Genomic DNA, 25,521 nt, shown 5'->3' with positions numbered 1-25,521 from the left:
CACCTCAGCCTCCCAGATAGCTGGGACTACAGGTGCATGCCAGCACACCTGACTAATTTTTTGTCTTTTTAGTAGAGATGGGGTTTCACCCTGTTGCCCAGGCTGGTCTTGACTGGGCTCAAGCAATCTGCCCGCCTCAGCCTCCCAAAGTATTGGGATTGCAGACGTGAGCCACCGCACCTGGCCTTATTTTTACTTTTAAAAAATGTATATATTCCTCTTGAAGGAACCATCACCTCATCTTCCTGATGGTCCATCTGTCAGCATGAACTTCAGTTAAAGTCCAGACAGGAGCTGTGCACTCAGGATGTACTGAAATGTGTAGGGTTTGTTTCCACTACATGGAACAGTCTCAGATCAGGGTGCTGTCTGAGTTCTCACAACTGCATCTTATAGCCTTTCTATCTACTATCTCAAAATCCGTTCTTCCGCCACCATCAATGTCACTCCTAACTTCTAACCCACAGCTTCTAATCTGCAGTGAGCCAAGAAAATTGATAATTAAAACTTAGAATAATTTATAAAAGAAAGGCATGTGAAAGTCATTGAGAAAGTATGTAGTACTATACAAATATATGATACAATGACCGTTATATGCCTTTTATATTTTTAATATGTGAATTTCTATTATTGTGCTTCAGTTTCCTCATCTGTGAAGTGGGTATATTATTAGTTCCTACCTCACATGGTTGTTGTGAAGATCAAGTAAGTTATTATTTGTAAGGGCATTTGGACCAGTATTTGGCACATATAAAATAGTGAGTGTCTGCTAAAGAACATACATTTAAAATATTAGGATAAAATAAAAGCACATGGGTTCTGAATCAGTGCTTGAGCGGCTTTTGTATGAGTAAAGTAAGTGCTTGAGCTTAACTGAATGGTCTATTTTCTTTTCTTGGAGACTTTGGTTTACTTTGTGGTTCTCGGGCATTTATACCAGGAGGTGCTACATGGTACACACACACACACACACACACACACACACACACACACTCAGGAGCACACGTGCCAGCACATCCACCATCTTCCCTCCTTTCTCTTTTCTCTCTTCCATGATCCCTGTCATAGTCAAAGATTCACAAAAGGAAGCAAGACAATTTAGGATACAATATCCTACTTAGAACATTTCTATAATGAAGCAAAAGGTCTCAACACAATAACAATTAAGATAATAATATATACTATATGGAGTATACTCCTATCTGAGCTAAGCACTTTACATATATTAATTCATTTAACTTCCACAACCATCATCTGAAGTAGGGACTACTGGGATTCCCATCTTGCGGATACAAAATGCAAGGCCTGGAGAAGCTAAATATCTTGCCCCAGATCACACAGACTGCTCACATTGACTCCCAATGCCATGCTGAAAAGGTATGTGTTTTCAAGTCATCTGATTTTTATGTGGGTGCCTGTAATTCTCTAGAAGGGGCACAGACAAGAATGAGTATTTATCGCTTGGCCTCACATTGGAAGCCTCTATTGATCCCAGTTAGACTTCCTCTCCCTTTCACATAGAGCACTGCCTATCCCAATTTGCTTAAAGAATCAATGGGGATATGGGAAACTTCTCCAGGGACTCCTGCTTAGAGCTCTGCACTAGAAGGGAACAGTCCTGTGTTTGAGTCCTGTCTCCTGATTCTTCATTGCTGGGTGAATGCAGTCATCAGATTTGAAGTCCTCAAGTGTCAAGCTCTTTGTATTCAAAGTAAAGACAATGACAGTTGAGCTTGTTTTGAGGGCCAAATGCACTAATGTTTGAGAAAGTATCTTATAAATCCTAATGAACATAGACAGGTAGGATGATTGTTTATTGATAAAAAAGTTCCCCTGAGATCCTCAGCTATAATCACATAGTAATCACCGACTCCACTTCCACAAAATGGCAGCCTTAGCTATGGCCCTGCCTGCAACTCAGGGAACCCTGAAGTAGGGCCACTTTAGGAGTGATGTTCCCAGGTTAAGATTCCACTAGGGTGCAGGTGAATTGCCCCCATATCTCAAAACACCTGGTCTGCGGAAAGGTGCTTGGATTGTAACGATATGAGTACATCAGGAAGAACTTCACTAAGTAGATTAAATTGATTAAATACTACTACACTACTCCTTTCATGAGAAGCCCCTTCATGGAGATAGTTACAAATAGACCAGGCCCTTCTACCTTGAATATTTTAGGAATTGACCTGACCAGAGGCAGATGTCAATGACCTTGAAGAGTCTTTCCTACTTGTGTCCTGCTAGGATATTGCAGCATTAGAGTTCTTTGCTCTGTGTTGCCAATAATCCTCATTTAGATACTCTGGGCTCCTCAGCCATTAGATCAGCTGTATTCACAATATGAAAGGCAACTCTTTAAGATTGTCTAATTTCTTTGCTGTATTTTCAAACACACATACTCCCAAAAGAACACATGCCCGCTTTTTATCTCAGAATGCAAGGAACTGTGGCACACAATTTCTCAGAAAAAGTCTGAAATTTTTACTTATAATGATAATAAATTATTTACGTTTATATAGCACTTTATATCCTCTGGTATACTCTGTTTTGTTAGATCTCAGAGTAGCTGCTGATACAGATAGGCAGTTATGGTTGATATTTTACAGAAGACAAAACAGAGACAAAGAGGTTGAGCAAGTTGCCTGAGACAACACAGCCTGTTTAGTAGCTGAGCTGATTCTTAATACAGGACTTTTTTTTTTTTTTTTTTTGAGATGGAGTTTTGCTCTTGTTGCCCAGGCTGGAGTGCAATGGCGTGATCTTGGCTCACCGCAACCTCCGCCTCCTGGGTTAAAGCGATTCTCCTGCCTCAGCCTCCCAAGTAGCTGGAGTTACAGTCATATGCCACCACACACGGCTAATTTTGTATTTTTAGTAGAGACGGGGTTTCTCCATGTTGGTCAGGCTGATCTCGAACTCCTGACCTCAGGCGATCCACCCACCTCGGCCTCCCAAAGCACTGGGATTACAGGCATGAGCCACTGCGCCCGGCCGATTCCAGAACTTTTTTCCGCCACTCAGAAAAAAATCCCCAGTCATTCCATGGACCACCTAAGACAGAAATGGGAAGGGAAGGGACAAAGAATTCCAGTCCAGTGCCCACATGGCTCTTTATCCTTCCAGTCCCCAGAAATCCCGGGGAATTATCTCTAGTTACCTAGACCTGCTTTTGCTGTAGCAAAACATTCTGCCCATTCTGACCACAGAAAGCCTGGCCAAGTATTACTCTTGCTACCTGGGAGTTTTCCATACATAGCAGCTCCCAACAACAAATCCTCATATCTTCTTGCAAAAAGGACGCTCTAACTCTAGGAAGCCTGTTACCACTCTGCCTTAAAACTCACAGAGTTAGCAGCCTGCTAAGGTTACAGAAGGGCAGTTGTAACTTGACTTGTAATAGATAGAAAATATAAAATTGTATCATTGTAGAGTATATAGTAACTACTAAGACATGATTGAAAAATTTGTCAATTTTAGGCAATTTTTAAATCACATTTAAGAGGTAGAAGGAAGGTCACATAACTATATTCAAAAACAGCAAGTTCAAGTTCTTATTGTGGTGTGAGCTAGTATGCATCCCAGATCCAAGGGACTTGTGTGGAATCACAGCATTAGACTAACTCATTAGAAGAATCCTGTACTTGATGCCAGTAATGAATTATGATGGAAACCTTAGCTTTAACTATTTTTCCCATTTTGTGTTTCAGTTTTTGACATCATTATTTTATTAACAACAGTAGCTGCCTTCAAATCACTTTTGTGGCCCTTAAAAAATAAAAGTACATTAAAAATCACAAAAACAAGCTAAAGCACACAATTTTCAGATAGGTCTACATTGACAAAATAAGAAAATTCCAACAATTAAATAAAATGAAACTTTCATCATATAAACCCACTAATGCTAGTGCAACATTGTCCTCCTTTATAAAATAAAGAATATCTAGCTTAACTGAAAATTATTTGCCCAGAAAACTTTGAGCATCACAAATTAAACAACTCTCAGCCAAAATAAATATCTAGTTATATACGATAAATTCTCAATCATTTGAAAGAAGAGAAATAAGAAATTATTGAATATTCATAATTATGTTTTATTTTTAAAGAATACATTTTGTTCAGGTACAGTGCATATTATAAGGTAAATATATCTGGGAATTAATAAGAAGAATGAACCATGTAGTTGAAATATTACAATCCAAAATAAGCCTATGTTACATAATGATGAATTTTAAACACAAAAGCTCCATTTCATTTATTTCAAATATTTCTCAAACAGCATCACAATTTTTAAATATTGGCCACAAAATTGTCAGGTTAGTACATCAGTAATATGTATTGTTCTGTATTAACAGATTATATCTACATTTTAAGCAGCAAATTTGGATTAAATTCTGATATAACTCTACCACTGAGCTAAGAATAAATATGGAAAAATACTGGTCTGATCCTTCAAAGGAATTTTTTATTAGAAACGAGATATTAAAATAAAGTTTTATGTAAACTTAATATAGCATAATTGGGGCACAGATTGTATGTGATCCAAGAACCAAAACCTCAATCAGCAAAAACCAAAAACAAAATAGAAACAAAAGAAGGTTTTATTTTTTAAGAGTGGCAGTGGAATTTCAAAATATAAATTAATAATTATTCCAAATTCATTTCTATAACCCATCACTTACAACATTTTTCTTCAAGTTAGCCAACAAATATGTGTGCTTTAGGAACCCCAGCACATACATGTCTCCTTCTGCATCAGTTCTTCTACTTAGAATGATTTTTTTCCAAATTAATGTAATTCCTTTATATTTTTGAGAAGAGAACAAAAAATGCAGAACCTCAACCAGGCAAAGTGCTTGGAAACCATACACAAAAAACAAATTACAACCTAAAGTTTTTTTTTAATAATGTGGTTAATAAAAATAAAATCACATTTATAGAGCACTTTTCATTCAAAAAGATTTCAAATTCACCAAACTAAGATTTGCTTCACTCATTACTGATGTATGTTCATGCCTGCAGAGAAAATATGGAATCTGATTAACAGCAAAAGTGCACTTCAGATATTACTGTCCTCTGAACCAAGAAATAAAAAATAAAAAATAAAGTCTCAGGAGAAAATATTAAATGGAGTCAATATGCAGTGGTACCTCCTTAAATTCACTCAACTAGTATTCTGCCAGTCTTGATGTGTGCAACTATTCTGCAACATTTTTCCAGTGTTGGAGCTGGAAAATGGAGCACAATCTCACATCCAGCCTCCCTGTGCCTGGAAAATAGCTTCCTGGAGGCTTTGATGATGAGAATCTTGTCTTTGAAATGAAACAAGCTCTCCAGGATTGCATCGTAACCCTGACCTTTCACACTAGTATTGAGCCTAAAGCCTAGGCCAGAGAGGAAATGATCACTTCTGCTTGACAGGGGGACACTCAGGCCCAGATTCAAACTTCTACCTCAATCCATGTTCCTGTGCTGTTTCCCATCCTCCTCTTGGTGCATAAATCCACAATTACAACAACTAAGATGATACAGCTGGATTACATACATTAATTCAAATAGCCTAGAGCTATTCCTCTTTTCCAGGCCTCGCCTATTGCCCTTAAATAGCATAAATCCCTTTCAAAATAAAAATATCTGAGGCCTGTTATTTATTTACCTGCTTATTTATTCAACAAAAATGTACTGAGTGCTGTTATGTGGCAGGAGCTGCTACAGGCAGTGAGGATATAGCAGTGGGGGGTAAAAAGGACCCCAAATTCCTGCTCTCATGGAGTTTACATTCTTACTCAAATTATTGTCTCCCAAGACTACACTGAGAACACTCCACAAATTAATGAGTTGTACAAAAGGACCAAATTTGTGTGCATACATTATTGGTACAATAGATTCACACTGTACCTTGATTCTAAAAGGTTCTTGTGTTTTTAAAGACATTACCTCCCACTCCCAAGCTGTTATTTCACAGAAGTGAAAATGGGGAACGTGGGGTGGGGTAGAAACTTTGTATTTATACATACTTGCATTATTTAACTGGTTACAATGAACATGTATTGATTTTATAACTAAATATAATTCCATAAAAAATTTTAAACTGTAGATCGGCTCCTCAATATTCCTGAGAGACTGAAGCAAGACAGATGGAAGTGAATGAACCCAGAGAAAGATCCAGAGTCAAGAGGGAAGAATAGCATTGCCTCATGGAAACTCCTTCCCCAAAACCTAGTGAAATAACAGCAAAGTTCACCAGCAGCCACTGACAAGGACAGGGGCATGGCCAAAGCTGTAAGCTCAAAAAGGGGCAGCTGACAAAAGAAATCCATTTTGGGGTGGGGCTGGGCAGCAGAATGGCAAGGTTCCCATCTGCTCCCTGACTCTTCAAAAGCTCTGGTGATAAGTCAAGCCAATCCTGAGAATTCTCACTGAACATTCTAAACCTGGTGAGAAGCAAACTGAGAGGATCTCTTAGTGTTTTTCTTCTTCACTGGGAAGCAGTGGAAATAACTGAACAGCTGCTTGAAAGAAACAGAGGAAGTATTCAAAGAAGCTGACTCTGGCAGAAGTGGAGACGCCAGCATCATGTCCTGAATGGGACATGAATCTGAAGCCAGAGGGTGTCTGTCCATCAAAAGGAGATTACCCCACCCAAACCAGACAGTGTGAACTCTGCTACAAAAGGAGAACTGAGCCTAAGCTGTCTAACAGACTGCCCTTGCTCTCAGGTGAGTCCTTCTTTTCCCTTTGCCCTCAGGCTACTTTAAAAAAAAAAAAAAAAAAAGCTCTTTAACTGTAGACCCCAAGGAAAAAACCAAATGATACTGTGAAATGGGAGTCAAGACATCACTAACACCATAAAAGTAAATAGAAAACATACTATGGATAGGACTACTAAAGCGTGATCAAGAAAAAAGAAATGGAATGACACCAATGCAAGTATATACAAGACACACACACACACACAAACGCAGCATGCAAAAGACACAGAAACAACCACCCTATAAAATATTCAAGAAACCGAAGAAAAAATTTTCACATGTGCCTTTAGCAAGAAAATAGCCTAATAAGAACATGAGTTCATAAGATGATATAACAACAGAATGAGATGAAAAAATAAATAGCAGCTTGCAGCTCTAAGGAAACAAATGGATGCCAGAATGTCATTAAAAATAAATAAATAAAGATAAATAAATAAAAAATAAAAATAAAAAAAGGACAGAATACACACAGTAAAATAAATTACAGTTATAGAATAAAGGATTGAAAAAAATATATGTATATGGAAAGGACTTAAATCAGGGAGAAGCCAATAGACCTGGGGGATAAAGTGATCAATAATAATAACAACCGGTATCTTTAAAGCAGAAAACTCAACACATAAAGTGAAAAAATATTAAAAGAACTAACACAAGAAAATTTTCCTAAAACAACAGCAACCTCTTAAATAGTCCTTATTACGTGCCATACACTGTTCTATGCAATTTACATATATTATATTAACGCAAATCATTCCAATAACTCTATGAGGTACATATTATAATTATTTATATTTTACATATAAATAAATTGAGGCATAAAGAGGTTAAGTAACTTGCTAAGATCTTACAGTTAATACTATTAAGCCAGGTAGAACTGAATCTGCCTATTGAAAAGTGCACCTTGGATTCTAGAAATACTGAACGTAAAGCTCATACACCAAAATATAATGTCAGAGATAAAGAAAAAAACTTTTCAGACTTAGTCAGAAAATGTAAATAATCTACAAAGGAAAATAATCACGCTGACAGCCTTTTCCACATGCTGGCAGCCTTCTCCGCAACATTCAACACCATGAATACAATGGATAAATAACTACAGAAATGAAGAGTGAAACAAGAATAGGATCCCTATTTTTAAAAAAGGCAGCATATATAAAATAATTCAATGAAACAGTACCAATGGGCTGTTTCAGGAAAAAAAAAAAGTGTTTACAATGAAATCCAGTCAATGAAACAATACATCTAAATAAAGAACTCAAGAATGAAGAAGATGTGGTAAAAGAATACAAGTAAAAGGAATGAATGCTAGACAATAGCTATAAAATATGGCCATATAAAAATAGAAATAATACAAAATTTGACAATGCACAAATAAAAATAATACAACTAAATATCAATAACAAAATAATGTGATGTAACAGTAAAAAATCAAAATGAGGGAAATGGAGGTGGGAAGAGAAAAAAGAGTATTGAGTTCTCAACTTGCATAGCTGGAAATAAATCAGTACTGCCGAACACTGAATAACCCAGGGTAAAGGATAATGACTACAACCTGTTCAGGTATTTCATAATCCCTTCTTAACATTAGAAGGGATATTTTAAGAAATTATATCTTCAATAAAAAAGAAATGTTTATTTGAGGTTTAATAATTCCTCCAATCCCTTTTCTTCTTTCAATTTAAGTGAAATTAAATGTAATAATTTTGTTTAAAAATAGCAGGTAGAGTATGATCCATTTTGAATAAAAGTAATAATATCTGAGTGTCTATATCCATCTATCCATTGTTCTGTCTGTGCCTAGGAAATTGTTAAAATCATAAACTATTTTTAAAAGCATAAACTATCTTTAAAAGTGAAAACAAGGAAGTGATTTTTATATAAATAAAGAAATAACCTTTTGACACATACAGGGGAAAAGCAGACACTGGAGACTACCAGAGGCAGGAGGGCAGAAGGAGGGAGAGGATCAGGAAAAATAACTAATGGGTACTAGGCTTATTTCCTGTGTGACAAAATAGTTTGTACAAAAAGCCCCCATGACACAAGTTTACCCATGTAACAAACCTGCACATGTACCCCTGAATTTAAAATAAAAACTAAAAAAGAAGAAATAAAGAATCATGGATTTGGGGAGAAGGGTGTGACCTTCAAAATCTCCTTATAGATGGTAATGAGAGAGAAAGAGAGAGATTAAGTCCTAAGGGTCGCATAGGCTATGGTGATCTGAGCTAATGTTCACTCCAGGCATTCTGATTTCCTATTAGGAATTCAAGCAGTGCAGAAGAGCATAAAAGAACGTTAGGAAAAAAATCACACCGAGTCCTGCCATCTAGAAATAACCATCATTACCATTAGGTGAACATCGTTCCAGAAACTTTTTATCTAGGTATAAGAATTAGTGGATAGATGGATAGATCGTTGAGCAGATAGCAATAATATTATAAAACGGAAGGAGAGTATATGTCTTATTTACTAACAGACAGATTCTATTTAACTCCTCAACTATGATATTGTCCAAAGTGATGTAAGAAATCGGTGGCAGAGTTGGCAACCAAACTCAGATTTTTAAATGTCTGGTTTAGGGTCCATATCCTAAAGGATACTTGCTTCTCTGACATACACACACCATTGGGCAGATGTGATGTGCAGATGTGGTATGACAGTGCCACCCCCACACAGGTACATATATGGCTGGCTTGCCTGGTGATCCTGTCTCATCCTGAGGTCTGACTGAGTCTTGTCTGCACCCGCATACCCCACTCTGACGTGGAAGGCACTGCACAGGCACATCAGAGCAGAGACCGGAGATGGATGAATGAGAAAAGTTTCAGAAGGCAGGGCAGTTGGAACCAAGAGGATTAAGAGAGGAAGAGGGCTTAGGGACAATGATGGGAATCCTAGGGGGCAGAAGGGGAAAAGTGACAGGCACAGAGCACAAGAAAACAAAGCAGGAAGAGAAGAGAGCTGCAGGATGTACAGAGTAAAATAAGGGTCTGGTTCCCACTCTGAGGCCCACAAAAAGATACTTTCCTATGGGCACATACTCGCGTGGACAGAAATGGGGATGCAAGAAGAGCGAATCAGCTTCACCGAGATCGAGTTTGGCAGGAAAAAAAAATACCCCAGCTCAAGAAACGGATTCACTAATAAAAGTGGGTCAAGAACAAGATTAAAAATCAGCTCTTTTCAGAGAGACCCGCATCTAACACACCTGGGGCAAGATGATACATAAACAGACACTTAACGGGTGCAGGATTCACTTGGGAAGAAGGGGTAGTATCTTCTCTGGGGAAGCAGTTGCAAAGAATCACAAGTGACCCAGGAAACCAGACACATAAAACACGTAACTCTGGGTGTCTGGAGGCCATTCTTTCACCCAAGCCATGAGCCTTTTCCACCCTAGGATGCACAATAACCTGGCTGCATTTTGGAGGGCACTGACCAGTACTTGGTACCCAGAGTTCTAGAGGGAACTGAGTAGATCACTCCTGGTCATATGAATGGTGTCATCATACTTGAATTTCTATCAAGCACTGTCACAACTCTCTTGACTCCCCTTGAAGTGATACAAAAAAGAAAAGCAGGAGGGGGCTGGGCGCGGTGGCTGATGCCTGTAATCCCAGCACTTTGGGAGGCCAAGGTGGGCAGATCACTTGAAGTCAGGAGTTCAAGACCAGCCTGGCCAACATAGTGAAACCCCGTCTCTACTAAAAATACAAAAATTAGCTGGTTGTGGTGGCACGTGCCTGTAGTTCCAGCTCCTCGGGAGGCTGAGGCAGGAACCTGGGAGGTGGAGGTTGCAGCGAGCCAAGATCGCACCACTGCACTACAGCCCGGGTGACAGAGCGAGACTTCGTTTCAAAACAAAAAACAACAAAACAAAACAAACCAAACAAACGAAAAAGCAGGAGGTCTTTCTTAATGACCATGACTAGTCAGAGCCACTTGCCAGCCCCATTTCCATTTTTCTTGCTCTTCCAAACCACTCTAATATTATCACCAGAGAGCAACTCCCTCAGTCTAAAACCTTCGGTGGCTCTCCTGTGCCTTCAAAAATTAGTCCAAAGTCCTTCGTTCAGCATTCAACTTCCTCTACAATCTGGCACCTAACTACCTTTGTGGCTTCCTTTTCCTCCTTATCCTTCCCATTTATCCAATGTTCCAATCACAATATATTCACCAACATTTCCAGAATATACCATGCACCCACCACTCCAGACCTTTACTGTGGCATTCTCATAGCCAGACATACCCTTAATTCATGATCTTTCTATCAAAATCCTACTCATCTTACAAGGCATGGTTCACATGCTCCTGACCCACTGACCACCCATGGGAATGAAGCATTCCTTCCTTTCAGTGCCACAGCACTCTGTTTTGACCTCTAGTTAGCACTTAATTCATTTTGCCTGGAATTCAGTGCTGTTTAAATCTGTCTTGACTTAAATCTGTCCTAATAGGTGGTAAGTGAATGAATGTTTATTGAACATCTACTGTAGGTGCCAGGCACTTCCACAGATATCATCTAATTTATCCTGTGTTGCTAATATGTGGCAAAGTGTTCACACATTTCAGGCGTTCATAAATGTTTGTTGTGTTATTCCACGAAGAGGAGAGAGACTGATGTCTGAACTTCTTCAGACGAGCAGTCACTAAGCTATGTCTCCTTTGGGGGACTTGATGAAAGAAATGAAAAAATGAGTCAGACTAATCAGCCCAGTTGGACAGCATGAGAAAAGGGTGACAGATATTTCGTCTTTCATAAGTCTGTCTCAGAAAAACCCTAAGTGGGGCATGGTGGCTCAGGCCTGTAATCCCAGCACTTTGAGAAGTCAAGGCAGGAGGATCGCTTGAGTTCAGGAGTTTGAGACCAGCCTGGGCAATAGCGATACCTTGTTTCTATAAATAACTAAAGAAAAAAAAATTAGCCAGGTATCATGGTGCATGTCTGTAGTCCCAGACACTGAGGAGGCTGAGGTGGGAGGATCACTTGAGCCCAGGAGATAGAGGCTGCAGTAAGCTGTGATCACACCACTGCACTCCAGCCTGGGCAACAGAGCGAGACCCTGTCTCAAAAGCAAAAGAGAATAACAAAAAAGAAGAAAAAAGAAAAAGGAAAATGCCCTAGCCAGAAAAGCACACCATCTTTTTTTTTCTGTTTGTTTTTCTTTACTCTACCCAGGAACTCAATACCCATCTCTGGAGTGAGGTCTCATCAGGGTGAACAGTTCTAACCCCAGACCAGCCACTAAATCACAGTTCTCTCCAAATTTTAGGCAAGATGGTGCCTCTCATGCTGCCTCAGTTTTCCTTATGTAAAACGGGGGGTTTGAGGCTGGTAGCAGTGGCTCACTCCTGTAATGCTGGGACTTTGGGAAGCTAAGGTGAGAGGATTGCCTGAGGCCAGGAGTTTCAGACCAGCCTGGCCAGCATAGTGAGACCTTTCCCCTATAAAAAACAAATCAAAACAACACAAAACAAAGAATGGGGAGTTTGGGCTGGATGGTCTTGAGGGTCCCTATCAGTGCTATCAAAATCCTAAGATTCTATGTTGAATGAGTGCAATCAAAATGACTTGAGAATGAACTCATTCTTCAGGCCAACTTGCAAACACCAAAACATGGAAGATAATGTAAACATGGCAATAGGACAGTAAATCTCTCCTCTCTTTCTCTCTCTCTCTCGCTCTGTGTGTGTATGTGTGTTCTGTGAATGTTTTCATGTACAATGGGGAGAGAGGTGGAAAGCTGTCAATCCATGAGCGTATATGTTCAAGAATTATTTTTCGTTTATTCAGATAAATACATAAATAGTAAAACCATTGCCTGGTTACTCCCCACCGGGGATTACCATTTTTTTTTGTTGGTGTTAATAAGAAATTAACAAAGGTTAATTTTAAATACATTAATCTTACAGCTGAAGATCACTTGAAAAATCCACAGACCTATAGAATCTAATGAGTAACATTAACAAGTACACTCTCTTCATTTACATCTAACACTGACTAGTCGTCCAGAGGATATTCTGTTGGATAAATAAATGAATAAATCAACAGTGTTGCATCAACTTCTGCAGGGGAGAGGGTGTGCATGTAACAGCTGATTTTACTCAGATAATCACTGAAAGTATATCACTTACCAGCTGATCTGAATTCAACTATTGTTTTCAAAACTATCTGTTAGACTGGGCTAAACCCTTTCCCAGACAGATTTAGGTGAAAAGATGCAACATATATACAAGACACATGCATATAAACATTTGCAACATAAACTCCACTTAAGACAGCTCCATGAAAATCCAAGAACCTTCAGCTTGAGGTCGGCGGAGCCTACCTCAGATCTGAAGGATACATGGAGCCCTTTGACTCTTCTGCTGTTATAGAAAACCAAGAATAAACAGGGGCTTCGGTGCTGCTAGTGTCAGGGTCAGTCTCACACCTTTATTTATAGTTAATATTTGTGCAGTTCAGATATTTGAAAATTTGTGCAGTTGTGGTATTTCACCAAGACCGTTTTACCCAAGGCCACATAATAATGGGCCTCAAATGTAGAAATACCACAGTGGTCCCAATAAAAAGGCTCTGACTACACAGGGATTATAAGTTTGCTACAAGTAAAAGGTGTTTGCTCTGCAGGAAAAAGAAATGTTTAAATAAGAAAAAGGAAAAAGAAAGAAGACAAAAAAAATCTTTTTTTGGTTGGGTACATTTTGGCAGGGTGGGGGCAAGGGAATGTGACATTCTGAAGGAAAGAAAACATCCAGAAAGAAAAAGAAAATGAAAAACAAACGACTAATGCACTCCACAGGGTAAAACGCATTTTTAATGCAAACACAGGAGGAGCATGAGAGCTCTTCAGAAATAAGAGACCAGCCAGGTAGTCAGATCATTAGCTCTTAGAAAGCCAAACTTAGCAGCCAGTCTACAAGGAGCAGCACAGCTTTGAGATCAATGTTGTTATAGCAATACAATTTTTAAAAGGAAGGAAAAAAAAAAAAGAGAAAAGAAAACCAAATCAGTTCATAAAATTTTGAGCAAAAAATTTAATAGAATATTTTAAAATTTTAATTTCCTCATAAAATATATAGTATTCTTTTAGGGTACTTTTTTTTCTATATTGAATGCTTTTCCTGAAATCAAATATGTATTTTCTATTTGCTGAGAATTTTCCCTAAAAGAATCTTTCCCTCCAAATCTGTATATTTTCAAATAGATTCAACCTTCTTATTTGTTTTTGCAGAAATTGCTATAATTTTTTTTCCTGAAAGAAGATCCTTCCCCAAAGTTGTATACTTCATTCAGGACATTTTTAAATGATTACTACTATTTCAAGGATTTTGTAACTATGGAGTAATTAAGATTTTAAAAAGTTAACTATCGTTATGACTCAGAAAATCCTTAATCCAATTATTAGGGTGAAGGATGCATTGACCGTTTCCCCTTTCAATCTTGTTCCTAGTCTGGAAAAAAATAAATATTTTTCAGAGAGTATTAATTTCTATATTTATCCAAATATGGTGGCAAATTTAACAGCAGTGAATTTTTAAATAAGCTTGATATTGATTAGAAATATTTCCTATGTATACATTTTGGGTTTATGCATGTGTTTTTCTGCAAGAAGAGAGTGGCACAGAAATTCATGTGATATTTATACTATATGTTTTAAACTTAGGTCAAACAGTCCTCTAAATTTACTTTCCCATAGTCAGATTTTTTCTTTCCTTTTTCTTTTTATATTTTAATTATTTTTCCTTTAATTGTCCTGGATTTTTTTTCTTTGTTGCTCACTAGCAATACCTTTTAATCACAAAATCATCAGTAAATAATGATGGTTACAGTAACATTAAAGGTTATAATTATATTTCTTACTGCTTTTCTTCTAAAGCTCTCAAGGAAGTTTACGAAGATAAAGTCAGTTCTTTCTCTTTTCACAGGATTTAGAAGCTTGAGAATTGCATTGTTTTTATGTGATACTGATGCTAAACCATTTTAGTTGGGATTTCCCTATACTTAAGGCTGGAGATGAAAATTTTATTTAAAGATATTTTGATTTAGCATTGTCAGACACAGATAACTGCACAGTTCCATAATCAATCTTTTTAAGGAGGCAAAAAAAAGTTCTGAGATTTAGTTCAGATTTGACGGTAACCTATTTTTGATTAAAAGACTATTCCATGTCAAAAAATATTGTCAATATTTAGTTTATTTATGTGGCAGATAGACTCCACTTTGATTTGAAATGAAACTTGGAGGAAATCATATCTTCTAACGCCCTGGTCAGCCTGAGCCACATGAGACCGTTCTAACATTAGGGTAGCTTCAGATACAAATGGCTTTACCTTCCAGGTGAGAAAGATGGCCTAGGGTCTTTGCTTGTGAGTATATGTGCATGTGCACATGTGTGTGCAAATATGTAAACAAAAGAAAGACCATGAAATTAACAGCATGTAGACAAATATTGAGCATACAATTTCGGCATTTTCATGACATCACTAAGCTAAGATGTTGGAATAAGCTCCCTATGTCTCTCTGTACCCTGTCCTCTCCAAGTTACTTCCTAGCTGGTAACATACTTCTCCCTCAACCAGTGAGGATCTTTTGAGAACACAGCCTCTCTCCTCTCTTCTCAGTAAATGTATCTTAGCCTCTAAGAGTGTGTGAGATCAAAAAAGGATCCTGACCCCCTTTAAGAGAAAGAAAAATTAGCAAGCATCAACTTCCCTTCCAGACTACCAGAAAACCTCCATTAAAAAAAAATGGCTCTATAAGCCATATTTTACCCATAAATTTGCATATTAACAGTCAACAGGAAGGATGGAAAAAGACCCGTGTATTCAAAAAGACTATACCCAGGTTGTGCCTGTCTGCTCAGAAAAATGGCAGGGAAAAGGATGTATGCAATAGTACAGTGAATTTCATTCTTGTAATCACTTCATGTCTCAGCTTCTTTTCCATGCTCACATAATATATTTAAACACACCAGGTGGGTGGTCACAATGCAAGGTATGAGAAACAATGAAGTATTTGAAAAAATATTCAGTGAAATTTTTGGAAAAAATTAATTTGGAGTAATTCTGGGACTCAGGTTTTTATACTGTCTTTTTTTAATATTTGATGATGTGAATTTGAATTACTTCTGAAAATTTCCATAAACTTTATTAATTCTCAAGTAAATGTCAGAATCTACTACTTTAATTTATTATAGGCCTTCCTGCATTAAAAAAACACACACACAAAATTTTGCCAAAAAGCAAAGCAGTAAATAAATAACAGTCACTATTTAATGTCATGTATAATCCCTTCATAAGTATAAATATTATAAATAAAACAACCTGTTTTGATGTGTTATATTAAGATCTATAAATTTTATAACCTATGAGCACATACAGAAAAAAAATTTGAGATGAAATCAACCTAGTGTTAAAACATAAACTATTAAAAATAAAATTAGTTTAAAAATGCTCTCAGTTTAAAATTGTATCTGGAAAAATATTTTAACTGAAAACTATATTTCTAACAAAAAATATTAACTCAAAAATATTCTTATTTTCAAATTAAGGAATGAATTTATGAATAGCAGAAGAAAGTGGTGCACTGCCCCCAAATAAACATATTAATGAATTATCATAAAACTCCCTATGGAAAGTTACATTTTCTTTGTGTCATATGAAAAGTTAATGTTTTATAGTCATAAATAAAATACCTTCTTAGATATTTTAGCTCTAATTAAATGATGATCTTTACTGGGATAAATTATCTTTAGTGTTTACAAGTTAACTATACAGAAAACAAATACAAAAAAAAAGAAACACAAAATTTCATTTTAAATCTCAGATTAGCTGAGAGGTAGTTCACAAAGAAACAAGATTTTAAATTATAAAATGAAAATAAAACTATATAGTTTATTTTAACAGGTTTTCCTTCTTTTAAAAAGATTTTCCTTTCAGAATTCTAAAGCATCACTAAAAAATAAACTCAAAAGCTAATAGCTAATCCTCAAAAAAGCAATAAGCTTGCATTTGTATTTTTAAAATCTCATTTGTTTGTTATTTAAAGTGATAGCCACTGTTTTCATGATTGCTTCATGTTTAAATGCAGAGATTTCTTGTGTAAAACTATGTAAGACAGGTTTTTTCAAGAGAAACTTCCTAAAGGATAACTTTGAGAGGAAAATATCTACGATTTAGAGAGTTTTACAAGCCTGCAAATATCTGAAAACACTAGATTAGACATCTATTTATATTATGGCCTAAAATGTTTGCTTAAATGTTTGTTTTATAAACAACACTGAGCAAATTTTAATTCAGTATACTATCAATAAAAATGTATTTCTTTAATATTTGTATTATAAATGACAGTTTCTGTGCTTCATTACCTATTTATTAAAAACATTTTTTAATTAGGCATAAGAGAATTCACTGGGGGGAAACTTTTCCTCTTTTATTTAAATATTATTTCATTTAAATGTGGTGTTGAGGTTCAGAGCTGGTAGAAATCTGAAAGATAAAGTTTGGAGGGCTATATCTAATTCACTCTTGGTTTTAAATTACTTGATAAGCTACTGACCCTTAATTAGCTGAAAAGTACAGAATTTTCCTGATAATTTCATTTAGGTTCATAGAACACCCACCTGTAGCAAGCATGTTTTCTGTCCTCTTTTTCTTATGCTTTGCCCAGTGCTCTTGGCCACAGATTTAAAAAAAAAAAAAAAAAAAAAAGTCGAGCTGGGTGCAGTGGCCTGTAATCCCAGCACTTTGGGAGGCTGAGGTGGGCAGATCACAAGGTCAGGAGATTGAGACCATCCTGGCTAACACGGTGAAACCTCGTCTCTACTAAAAATACAAAAAATTAGCCGGACATGGTGGCATGTACCTGTAGTCCCAGCTACTCAGGAGGCTAAGGCTAAGGCAGGAGAATTGCTTGAACCTGGGAGGCAGAGGTTGCAGTGACCCAAGATCGCAGCTCTCCGGCTTGGGTGACAGAGTAAGACTCTGTCTCAAAAAAAAAAAAAAAAAAAAATCACTCACTCCACTACAAAATAAATGGTAAAACTATTTCTTGTCTTGATTTTTTTTTTTTTTTTTTTTTGCTAAACTTAAAATCTGGGCCTTAAAGATGAGTTGACCCTGGGGATCATGGTTCCCCTACTGGTTAATGCCAGTTGAGGTATTAAAATTTTAAGGTGCAATGTCATTGCAATTTAACTGACCCAGAGTCTACTACTTAGAAGCCAGGAACCCTTGAGCGAGTTCCCCTTATGCGGTCATCATTGATTCAGCTCCAGACTCAGCCCCAGCCCAATTCACAACATCTGGAAAATCTTGGTAAGATTGGGACACTTGTGAAATTCCAAGAGTTTATTTAGACTCTTCTCTTATCTCATGACTCCTAGTCATTTTACATTCACTTTTCTCCTTCCTTATTCAAGGTTCAACTCCTCCAGCAACTCCTGGACTATATTTAGACCTGGATCTGCAGGAACTTGTCTAAATAATAATAACAGTTCATCTCACTTGAGTACATACTACATGCCTGATGCACTGGAATGTGTATTTACTGACAGCTCATTTCATCTTCCTAACGATCTTATGAAACAGATACTTTTAATATCCCCACTTTACAGATGAGGAAACTGGCTCAGAGTTGCTGAAGGGCGTGCAGCTGATAACTTGCTCAAGGGCATGCAGCTAATAAGGGCAGGACTAGGCAAAAAACCTAAATCTCACTGGTCTTCAAAACCCATTGTTCTTGACCAACAGGTTTCACTGCTTCCTTCCAATGCTGCCTTCATCATTCTTGCCTTAAACAGCTAAAAGGACAGATAGCAAGACCACTTTCTAGGCCACGTTTGACATATCCCTGAACCGTTTATTATAATTATTTTTAAAACGACAGAAAAAAGGAAAAGTCACCAAGTGGAAGCAATGCATAGACTGTGGGTTTAAATGTGGGAAAGTGGAAATGTAGAAAGGTACATGGGGAAGGCTCCAATTTCTATGAAAACTGAATAAAATAAATAAATAATAAACAAAAACAAAAATATTTTTTCCTTCTCTTTGGAATGGCCTCAGATGTGTTCAACAGGTTCAGGGGACAATTGGTGGCCCTGGTGTTTTCTCCTGGCATTACCCAGAAAATGTAGGGACCATATCACATTCTTCCTATAATCAGCCCTGCAGTTTGCAGCCAAGGCTTAAAAAGAAATGCCTGATAGGACAAGTTCAGTGGATCAAAAGGAGGAGAACAAAGATTTTGAGGCAGGAGTGTTTTAGGAGGAGACAAAAAGATTTATAAGATGTTAAAAGTAAAGTCAGAAGAAGGAAAGAATGAAGATTAAATATGCGGGAAAAGGAAAAAGAAAACATTATTTACGATAGCAAATAGTGTTACATATTCTTGCCCTTCTATTTTTCCTTATTTTTTTCCTTGGTGGAAATTGCCTAAACATTGAAAATTTAGGACTGGATATATGCTGAAAATAAAAGTATCCTAGGTGAATTGCTTTTTCTCCCCATCAAAATAATAATAATAATAATAATAATAATAAAGGCAAAAAGAGTGATTTGCAAAAACAATTGTAATTAAATTCAATTGATTTTAAAAGGGACGTGAAAGCAAGGAATTAAAAGGAGAATGAAACAAGAAAGAGATAATCTTCATGTAGGGACACATAAAGTAGAGAAAAAGATTTTTCTATCAACCCTTCTGATTTGCTCCCAGAGGGTAATCCTGGGCACTGGCAGGCCATGGAACAAATGGACAGATGCTTCCAGAAAAGATTATCTTTTATCTGTCACTCTAGGAATAGCTCTGGTCCTATAGCTGCTTATGCTATGATTTAAGCCTTGTATGACATTGCTATGTGTGTCAGACAGGAAAGAGAACACTATAATAATAATAATAATAATAATAATAGCTAATAATAATAATAGCTAACATTTTTTGAACACTGACTAGGCTCTTTACACATGCATAATCTCATTTAATCCTCACCAAAGCCTTATGGTGAAGGGTGTTATCATTATCCCCATTTTACAGATGAAGAAATCGAGAAGATAAAAAGTTTATATTTAGATGGATTTTCCTATACTTTAGCCTCAGCAGCAACAACTTGCTGCTTTCTTGCTTAAGCAGAAATTCACACACTTCATCCTGTCCTCCCACAATCTAACACAAAGACTTTACAAGTTCAGATTCCTACCTGGCTCTTTCAAAGATGGATCACTTCACTTCCAGGGTCCTCTCCTAGCAGTGACTTCCACTGGCTGTTCACCTGGGAGTGCTAAATAAGAGCATCTAACTCCCCACCTAAAGTCCAGTTTTTTTAGTAGCTGATCAGTTCTAAAATCAGTAAATGCCCCTTTGCCCTAAATGAAAAAGTTCTGGCCTTCCTCATTGCAAGTAAGAATTCTGAAGATGCTGAAAGCAGGGAAGAAAAATGCTCAGAAAGACTCAGAACTGGGGTGAAACCTTTGCACACAGACCTATCCATGTCTGTTTTGAGCCTTTCAGCCTCCCAATTTCTCCTTCACTAAAGATCTCAACAGAACTACCTGCTATAAAGCCCCTTGCTGTGCTACATGGAAGCAGCCAGTCTACCAACCCAACAGGGCCAGAAGTGGACTGGTCTTTCCTTCTCAATGAATCCCTGACCTGTCCAGCTATGATTGTGCCTGGTAGTCAAAAGCACCAGAGGAAATCCGTCTTTGCTGTGAGCCCTGGCATTGTGATCTTATACTGTCCAGCTCCAACACAAACCTCCCTTCCCTCCATGGAACCATCGACTTTACCAAGAATACTTAGCCTAAAAGATAGATTGACTCTTTGAAATTCTGCAGGACCAGGCTGAGATTAGTCATCAAAACTTCTCATCTGTTTCTGTCCTCAGCTCCACGTCTGCCTTGCCTCTCAGTTACGAGCTGCTGTTCAGCATTTATTCTAGCCACTTGCAGTATTAACTAAGTTCCAAATATTTATTCTCCAAAAATGGAGGACCAAAATCACAATAAAAATGCAACAAAGTGCTAATGGGGGAAAAAAAAGAACAACTAAAAACCAAGATTTGACCATGCAACCTAAGCTCAAACCTTCATATTGTAAAATGTAGGCCTTAGAGACTCAATGAAAAAAATTTTAACTTGGGGTCTATGGAACCTAGGGATGTCCTGAGCTCCCTGAAATTGTATATAAAATGCCTGGTTTTTTTTTTCCTTTTTGCTGGGGACAAGGTCCATAGCTTTAAACAGATTATCAAAGGAAGAATAATTTATTTATATCTCCAATGTCTAGAATAAGGCCTGATACATAGTGCAGAAACTCAATAAACATTTGTTGAACGAATGCATGAATGGAAGGGGTCTGACCTCCAAAGCACTTAATTTTATAGATGGAGATATTGAGGCCTAGAGAGGATACTATTGCTTCTTTAAGTTCATAAATGTGAGTAGTTGGGACTAGATAGAATTTGCTCTTTTAATTCTTTCCACCGCTTGTCAGCTTTGTTTTGCTTTTTAACCTATTTGTATCTTTCACCCCATCTCATTTTTCTTCCTCCCAATCTGTTGCTTTTTAAGCAGAGAAATGAATCTTATTTCCTATTTAGAAGTTGTCAGAAAGTGTATCTCTGAAATGGGAGGTGGGGGGAGCAAAGAGCAGGGAGAGACTGTGAAAAAGGCCACCAGAATAATTTATTTGTGATAGCATGCACAGCATGACTACTATTCCCATGTTCTGAAGACATGATTAATATGGCCTCGAAGTGGCTGATATTGGTAGAAATATGTAAAGCTGAAATAGTGGAGTTCAATCCAGGGTTTGGCAGTAAATCATGAGCTTAAAACTGACCAGGCCAAGCAGCTGTCCTACAAGCAGGTGATCTGCAGCATTCTAAAAAAATATCTTGGGGACAAGGATCAAACAGATCTTTACTGGGTTTGAAACCTCCTTATGAGGGCCTTCTTGCTTATAAAGGAGATCCTGGGTTTAACTACCCTCTTAACAGCTCTCAGTCAAGCCCCACAGGACAAGAAGGATGAGAATCAACTGCCACCCAGAGGAGAGAAATAAAAGACAGGGACCCATGCCTTACGGAACTGCTTCATGCTAGCAAATGTTTTGAAAGACACCAATACTAGGATTCTATGACACAGCAACTTTCTTGTGCTGATGACTTCCTCTGCAGACCAAGGTAACATGGAGGCTCTGAGGTCTAGGCCATGTCAGAGACAAGAGATGAGAGCCATACCTAACCTTCTCATGATGCCCCCAGAATGCTAATTGCAAACAGAAGAAACTTTCTGTAAACTCTTCTTTGAACCCTGGGGTGTCAGTCTTTTCAAAGGGAATCTGTTCTGTTGTCCTGGATTATGTTTATGGATTAGCTGTATTATGTGGTAGTGATAGCAAATGCTTAGTGGAAAAAAAAATACCCAGAGAACACAGTAAACAACTTGGGGTTGAGCCCCAGCTGTGTGACCTTGGTAAAATCACTTAACCTCTCTGAACCTGTTTGATTTATAAAATGAAGAGATTGGTCTCTCTCTGAATATACTCTATAGTTCTTTCCAGTTTTGGCATGCTACATAGTCTATCTAAATTTGAGGTTTAGTCTATCCATGGATTTTTTCAAACATAATTAGAAGAGATTACCTTTCAGGCAAGAAAATCACCACCCGACTCCCACCACCCCGCCTTATTATTTTCTTAGATTTTCTCACAGTGCAACTGAACTATCGGTTAAGGAGGGAGAAGGAAGATGTGAACCTCTTGGAATTAACAACAACCCTATTGCCCAAAGATAGATGCTGCAGACTTCAGGTCCTTATATTCAAAAGGGGAACTTAAAAGAAGTTAGGCTCATTTAACAATTTGATGGCCTCATCCATACTTTACATGGTGGAAATTATAGACGATTCCAGTCAATTTACGTATTATTTAAGCTCTACTCTTAAAATGTAAAAATTTCCAAAAATCCATGTAGCAGTCATTTAATTAACATAGCAAATAGATCTGTTGTATAAAGATCTGAAGATCTTCCACGTAATGTGCTTCTATTCTGCCATAAGCCTCGAGTTTCCCTCTAAAAATTTCTGGCAGCTTCCCACATTTGGCTCACATGACCTCCAAGGATTAGGCAGGTAGCTTGGTTTCTCCTTTCCTCACAAATCTGACAGCCCTGGGGTTTCAAAATTCTCTGCCAAGCTCTGAACCGAAATCCCCAATAAGAATCACAGTATGACTTTGAAGCTCAGAAAGGCAGCTAAACAAAAGCTCTATAGCAAGAGATTTTGCTGGTTAATAGGAAAAGTAAATGCATTTAGAGTTTAATGCCTTACCCTTCAAAAAAAATATCCAGAGGCTAAAATTTCTCCCATGCATCCTAGGCCGAACTCCAGTTAAGGAGACATAACAACGTTTGGTGTCCTCAGAGAAACTTCACATGGCAAATGACCCTTCAACTCTGCACATCCCTTGGGCCCCTGAGAGGCCTCAGATGGTCCAGGAAGTGGAGGTGGAGAAGGAAGAGTGGGCCCCATTGAATAGGGCCTACACCCCTCAGTACTGAGGGTTTGGAGGCTCCTGAACACACAGGCCCAAGTCCTGCTTAGGGGATGGGACAGGAAGTCCTATGCAGTCCTATGAAGTCCTATGCCTTATGCGGTAGGTACTGTGTCCTTCCTTGTAACCTCTGTGATGGGTGCCTTCCTTTGTCAAGGACTAAGCCTTTGAGGACAGTCTCCAATCACTGGATCTGTGGCTTCCCTGTATCTCATCATCAAGTGGGAAGTATGTGTGGAGGCCCCTTGGGTCTGCTCAGGCGAAGAAACCATGGGCTGACATCTTGGTACTCACCTGGGACTTCTAAGTTTATTCATCCAAGCTCTTCATCACCTGTGGCCTTTGAGAACTCCTCCTTCAGTGGCCACCCCTCATGCAGACCTCTGGGTGTCAGGACAGGTTTGACCACCTGAAAAGGCCAAAAGATAGGCAGGGTTACTCTGCTGTCTCAGAAGGAGAATGGGAGTGATTGGCGGCTGGGTCATTTCACATGAAATCAAGCAGTGGGAAGACTGAAGGAAAGGAAAAGGGTAGGGGGCACATCTGGGCCAAGAGCTACCAAGGCATGGATGCTGATTCAAGAGCAGAGCTTTCCAGAGATGCCCACAAAGCCTTCTAGTTTGAGAAGTCCCCAGGACAGAGAAGATGGCCCTGGTCTGAGATCATAGCAAGCCTTCCAAGCACATCTGAATCAACCCATGCTTCTGTCTTTGCCTCCAACCTGAGACAGGCAAGGCAGAGGGACTGAAAGCAACCACAGGTCCGGGAAAGAGGATAGAAGAGACAAGAGGGCCGATAAAGGGAGGAAATCTGGCTCCAGACTCTAGGAGTGGGGAAGAGGCAGGAGAGCAGATCACCCAGGGTGTGGTCAGAGTGAGCCTGAGAAAGACGGCATGCAAAACTGCTTTGCCTGGCCCAGCCACCTGCCTCTCCCCACTGGGGGCAGGTGACTTTGAGGGGACTCTGTGGCCCCTGAAACCCTTCCCTAGCTCCACAGATAACCCCTGGTCTTGATTTTTAACATAGGCAAAGTTAAGCTAGTTGGCTGGGCCCAGGGGACAAAGTTTCCCCAGCTGCCTTCCGAACACTTCTCACACCCCCGGAAGGAGTAGCCTGGGGTGAGGAGGGTTCCTGAGGTGCTGCTCCCTCTCCTATAGGGCCTCCAGAGGTTGGCATCACATGCAAGTGCCTGGAAGTTTCCATCAGGCCCCTGGTTCAAAAGGCGAGGTAGCTTTATTAAGTGGGATGCGCATCGGCAGTTTGAGGGTACATAGAGGCACCCCCCCCCACTTTGCCCTCCTTCCTTAGCAAAAGCAAAATGGGTAGAGAGGGAGAGATCAGCTCCCACTGGGCTCAGACTGACATAACCGCCCTAAGGAGGGAAGGAAAGACACCAAAAGCCACAAAAAGCCACCTATTTTCACTTATTGTGAAGGGAAGGGGGAAGGGGTCTCTTCCTTTGATCCCACCCGGAATGAGAGACCCCTTTCCGCAAGCTCCCAGCCCCGATCAAAAGTGAGCAGCCTCAGCCCCAGGCGTGCAGCCGCCCCAAGCAGCAGCTGCAGCAGCAGGAGCTTCTCCAAGGCAGCAACAGTTGTCTGGCTGAGGCGAGGCGAGGCGAGGCGAGGAGAGGACTCGCTCCGGTGCCGCACGACGCCGGGTTCGGCCGTTGCTCCTTGGGCCCTGGAGCCCTAGTCCCACACTTAGCCTCGGAGGGAGAAGTGAGGGGGCTAGGGTCGCAATAACCCTGAGCCGCCTGCGCTGCGGTGGCTCAACCTCTTCTGTGCAAGTTCACTTCTCTTGGGCCACCTCTCTCCCAAATCTGGTGAAGGTTCAGGCTTTGGGAGAGAGGAGGGCTTTCTGGCTGGGAAGAGGAGGGGTATGTAAGAAGCAAAAGACAAAAGAGGAGCTGAAGGGACACAGGGTGAAGCTATTATTAATCTAACGTGGTTCTTATGCCTCTCCCTCCGCAAAGCTATCGCTCCACAGACGGCCCCAGGTGAGAGGCAGGGAGGAAAATCCCCGGAGCTTTTGCTTTTTGCTCCATCTCCTTTGCAGATCTTAGGAACCTTTTTACTCTTTTAGAAAACGTATTCAGGGAGGGAAAATTTCCTTTATCTGGGGAGGAAAGCTCTGATTTAGCCTTAGAGCTTGGAGTGCTCGCCTTCCGTGCCTTCTCACAGTCTTAGCCATAAAAGATTGACTCTGTCCAGCACC

General features: G+C 39.0%; 1 protein-coding gene across 4 annotated transcripts in view; it reads right to left on the bottom strand.

Annotated features, from left to right (window-relative positions):
* Positions 1–25,521, bottom strand: part of HSD17B12 (hydroxysteroid 17-beta dehydrogenase 12) — a 299,895-nt gene that overhangs the window by 248,343 nt on the left and 26,031 nt on the right. For all 4 annotated transcript variants that reach the window (XM_024448573.2, XM_047427074.1, XM_024448571.2 and 1 more), the window contains one exon: positions 23,599–23,713. The gene's annotated coding sequence lies outside the window, so the exon portion shown is untranslated. The remainder of the gene's footprint in view (positions 1–23,598; positions 23,714–25,521) is intronic.

The sequence above is a fragment of the Homo sapiens genome, chromosome 11, assembly GCF_000001405.40.
Source record: "Homo sapiens chromosome 11, GRCh38.p14 Primary Assembly".
Lineage (NCBI taxonomy): Eukaryota > Metazoa > Chordata > Mammalia > Primates > Hominidae > Homo > Homo sapiens.
Note: the sequence above shows the minus strand (reverse complement) of the source record. Positions and strands in the feature narration are given on the sequence as shown.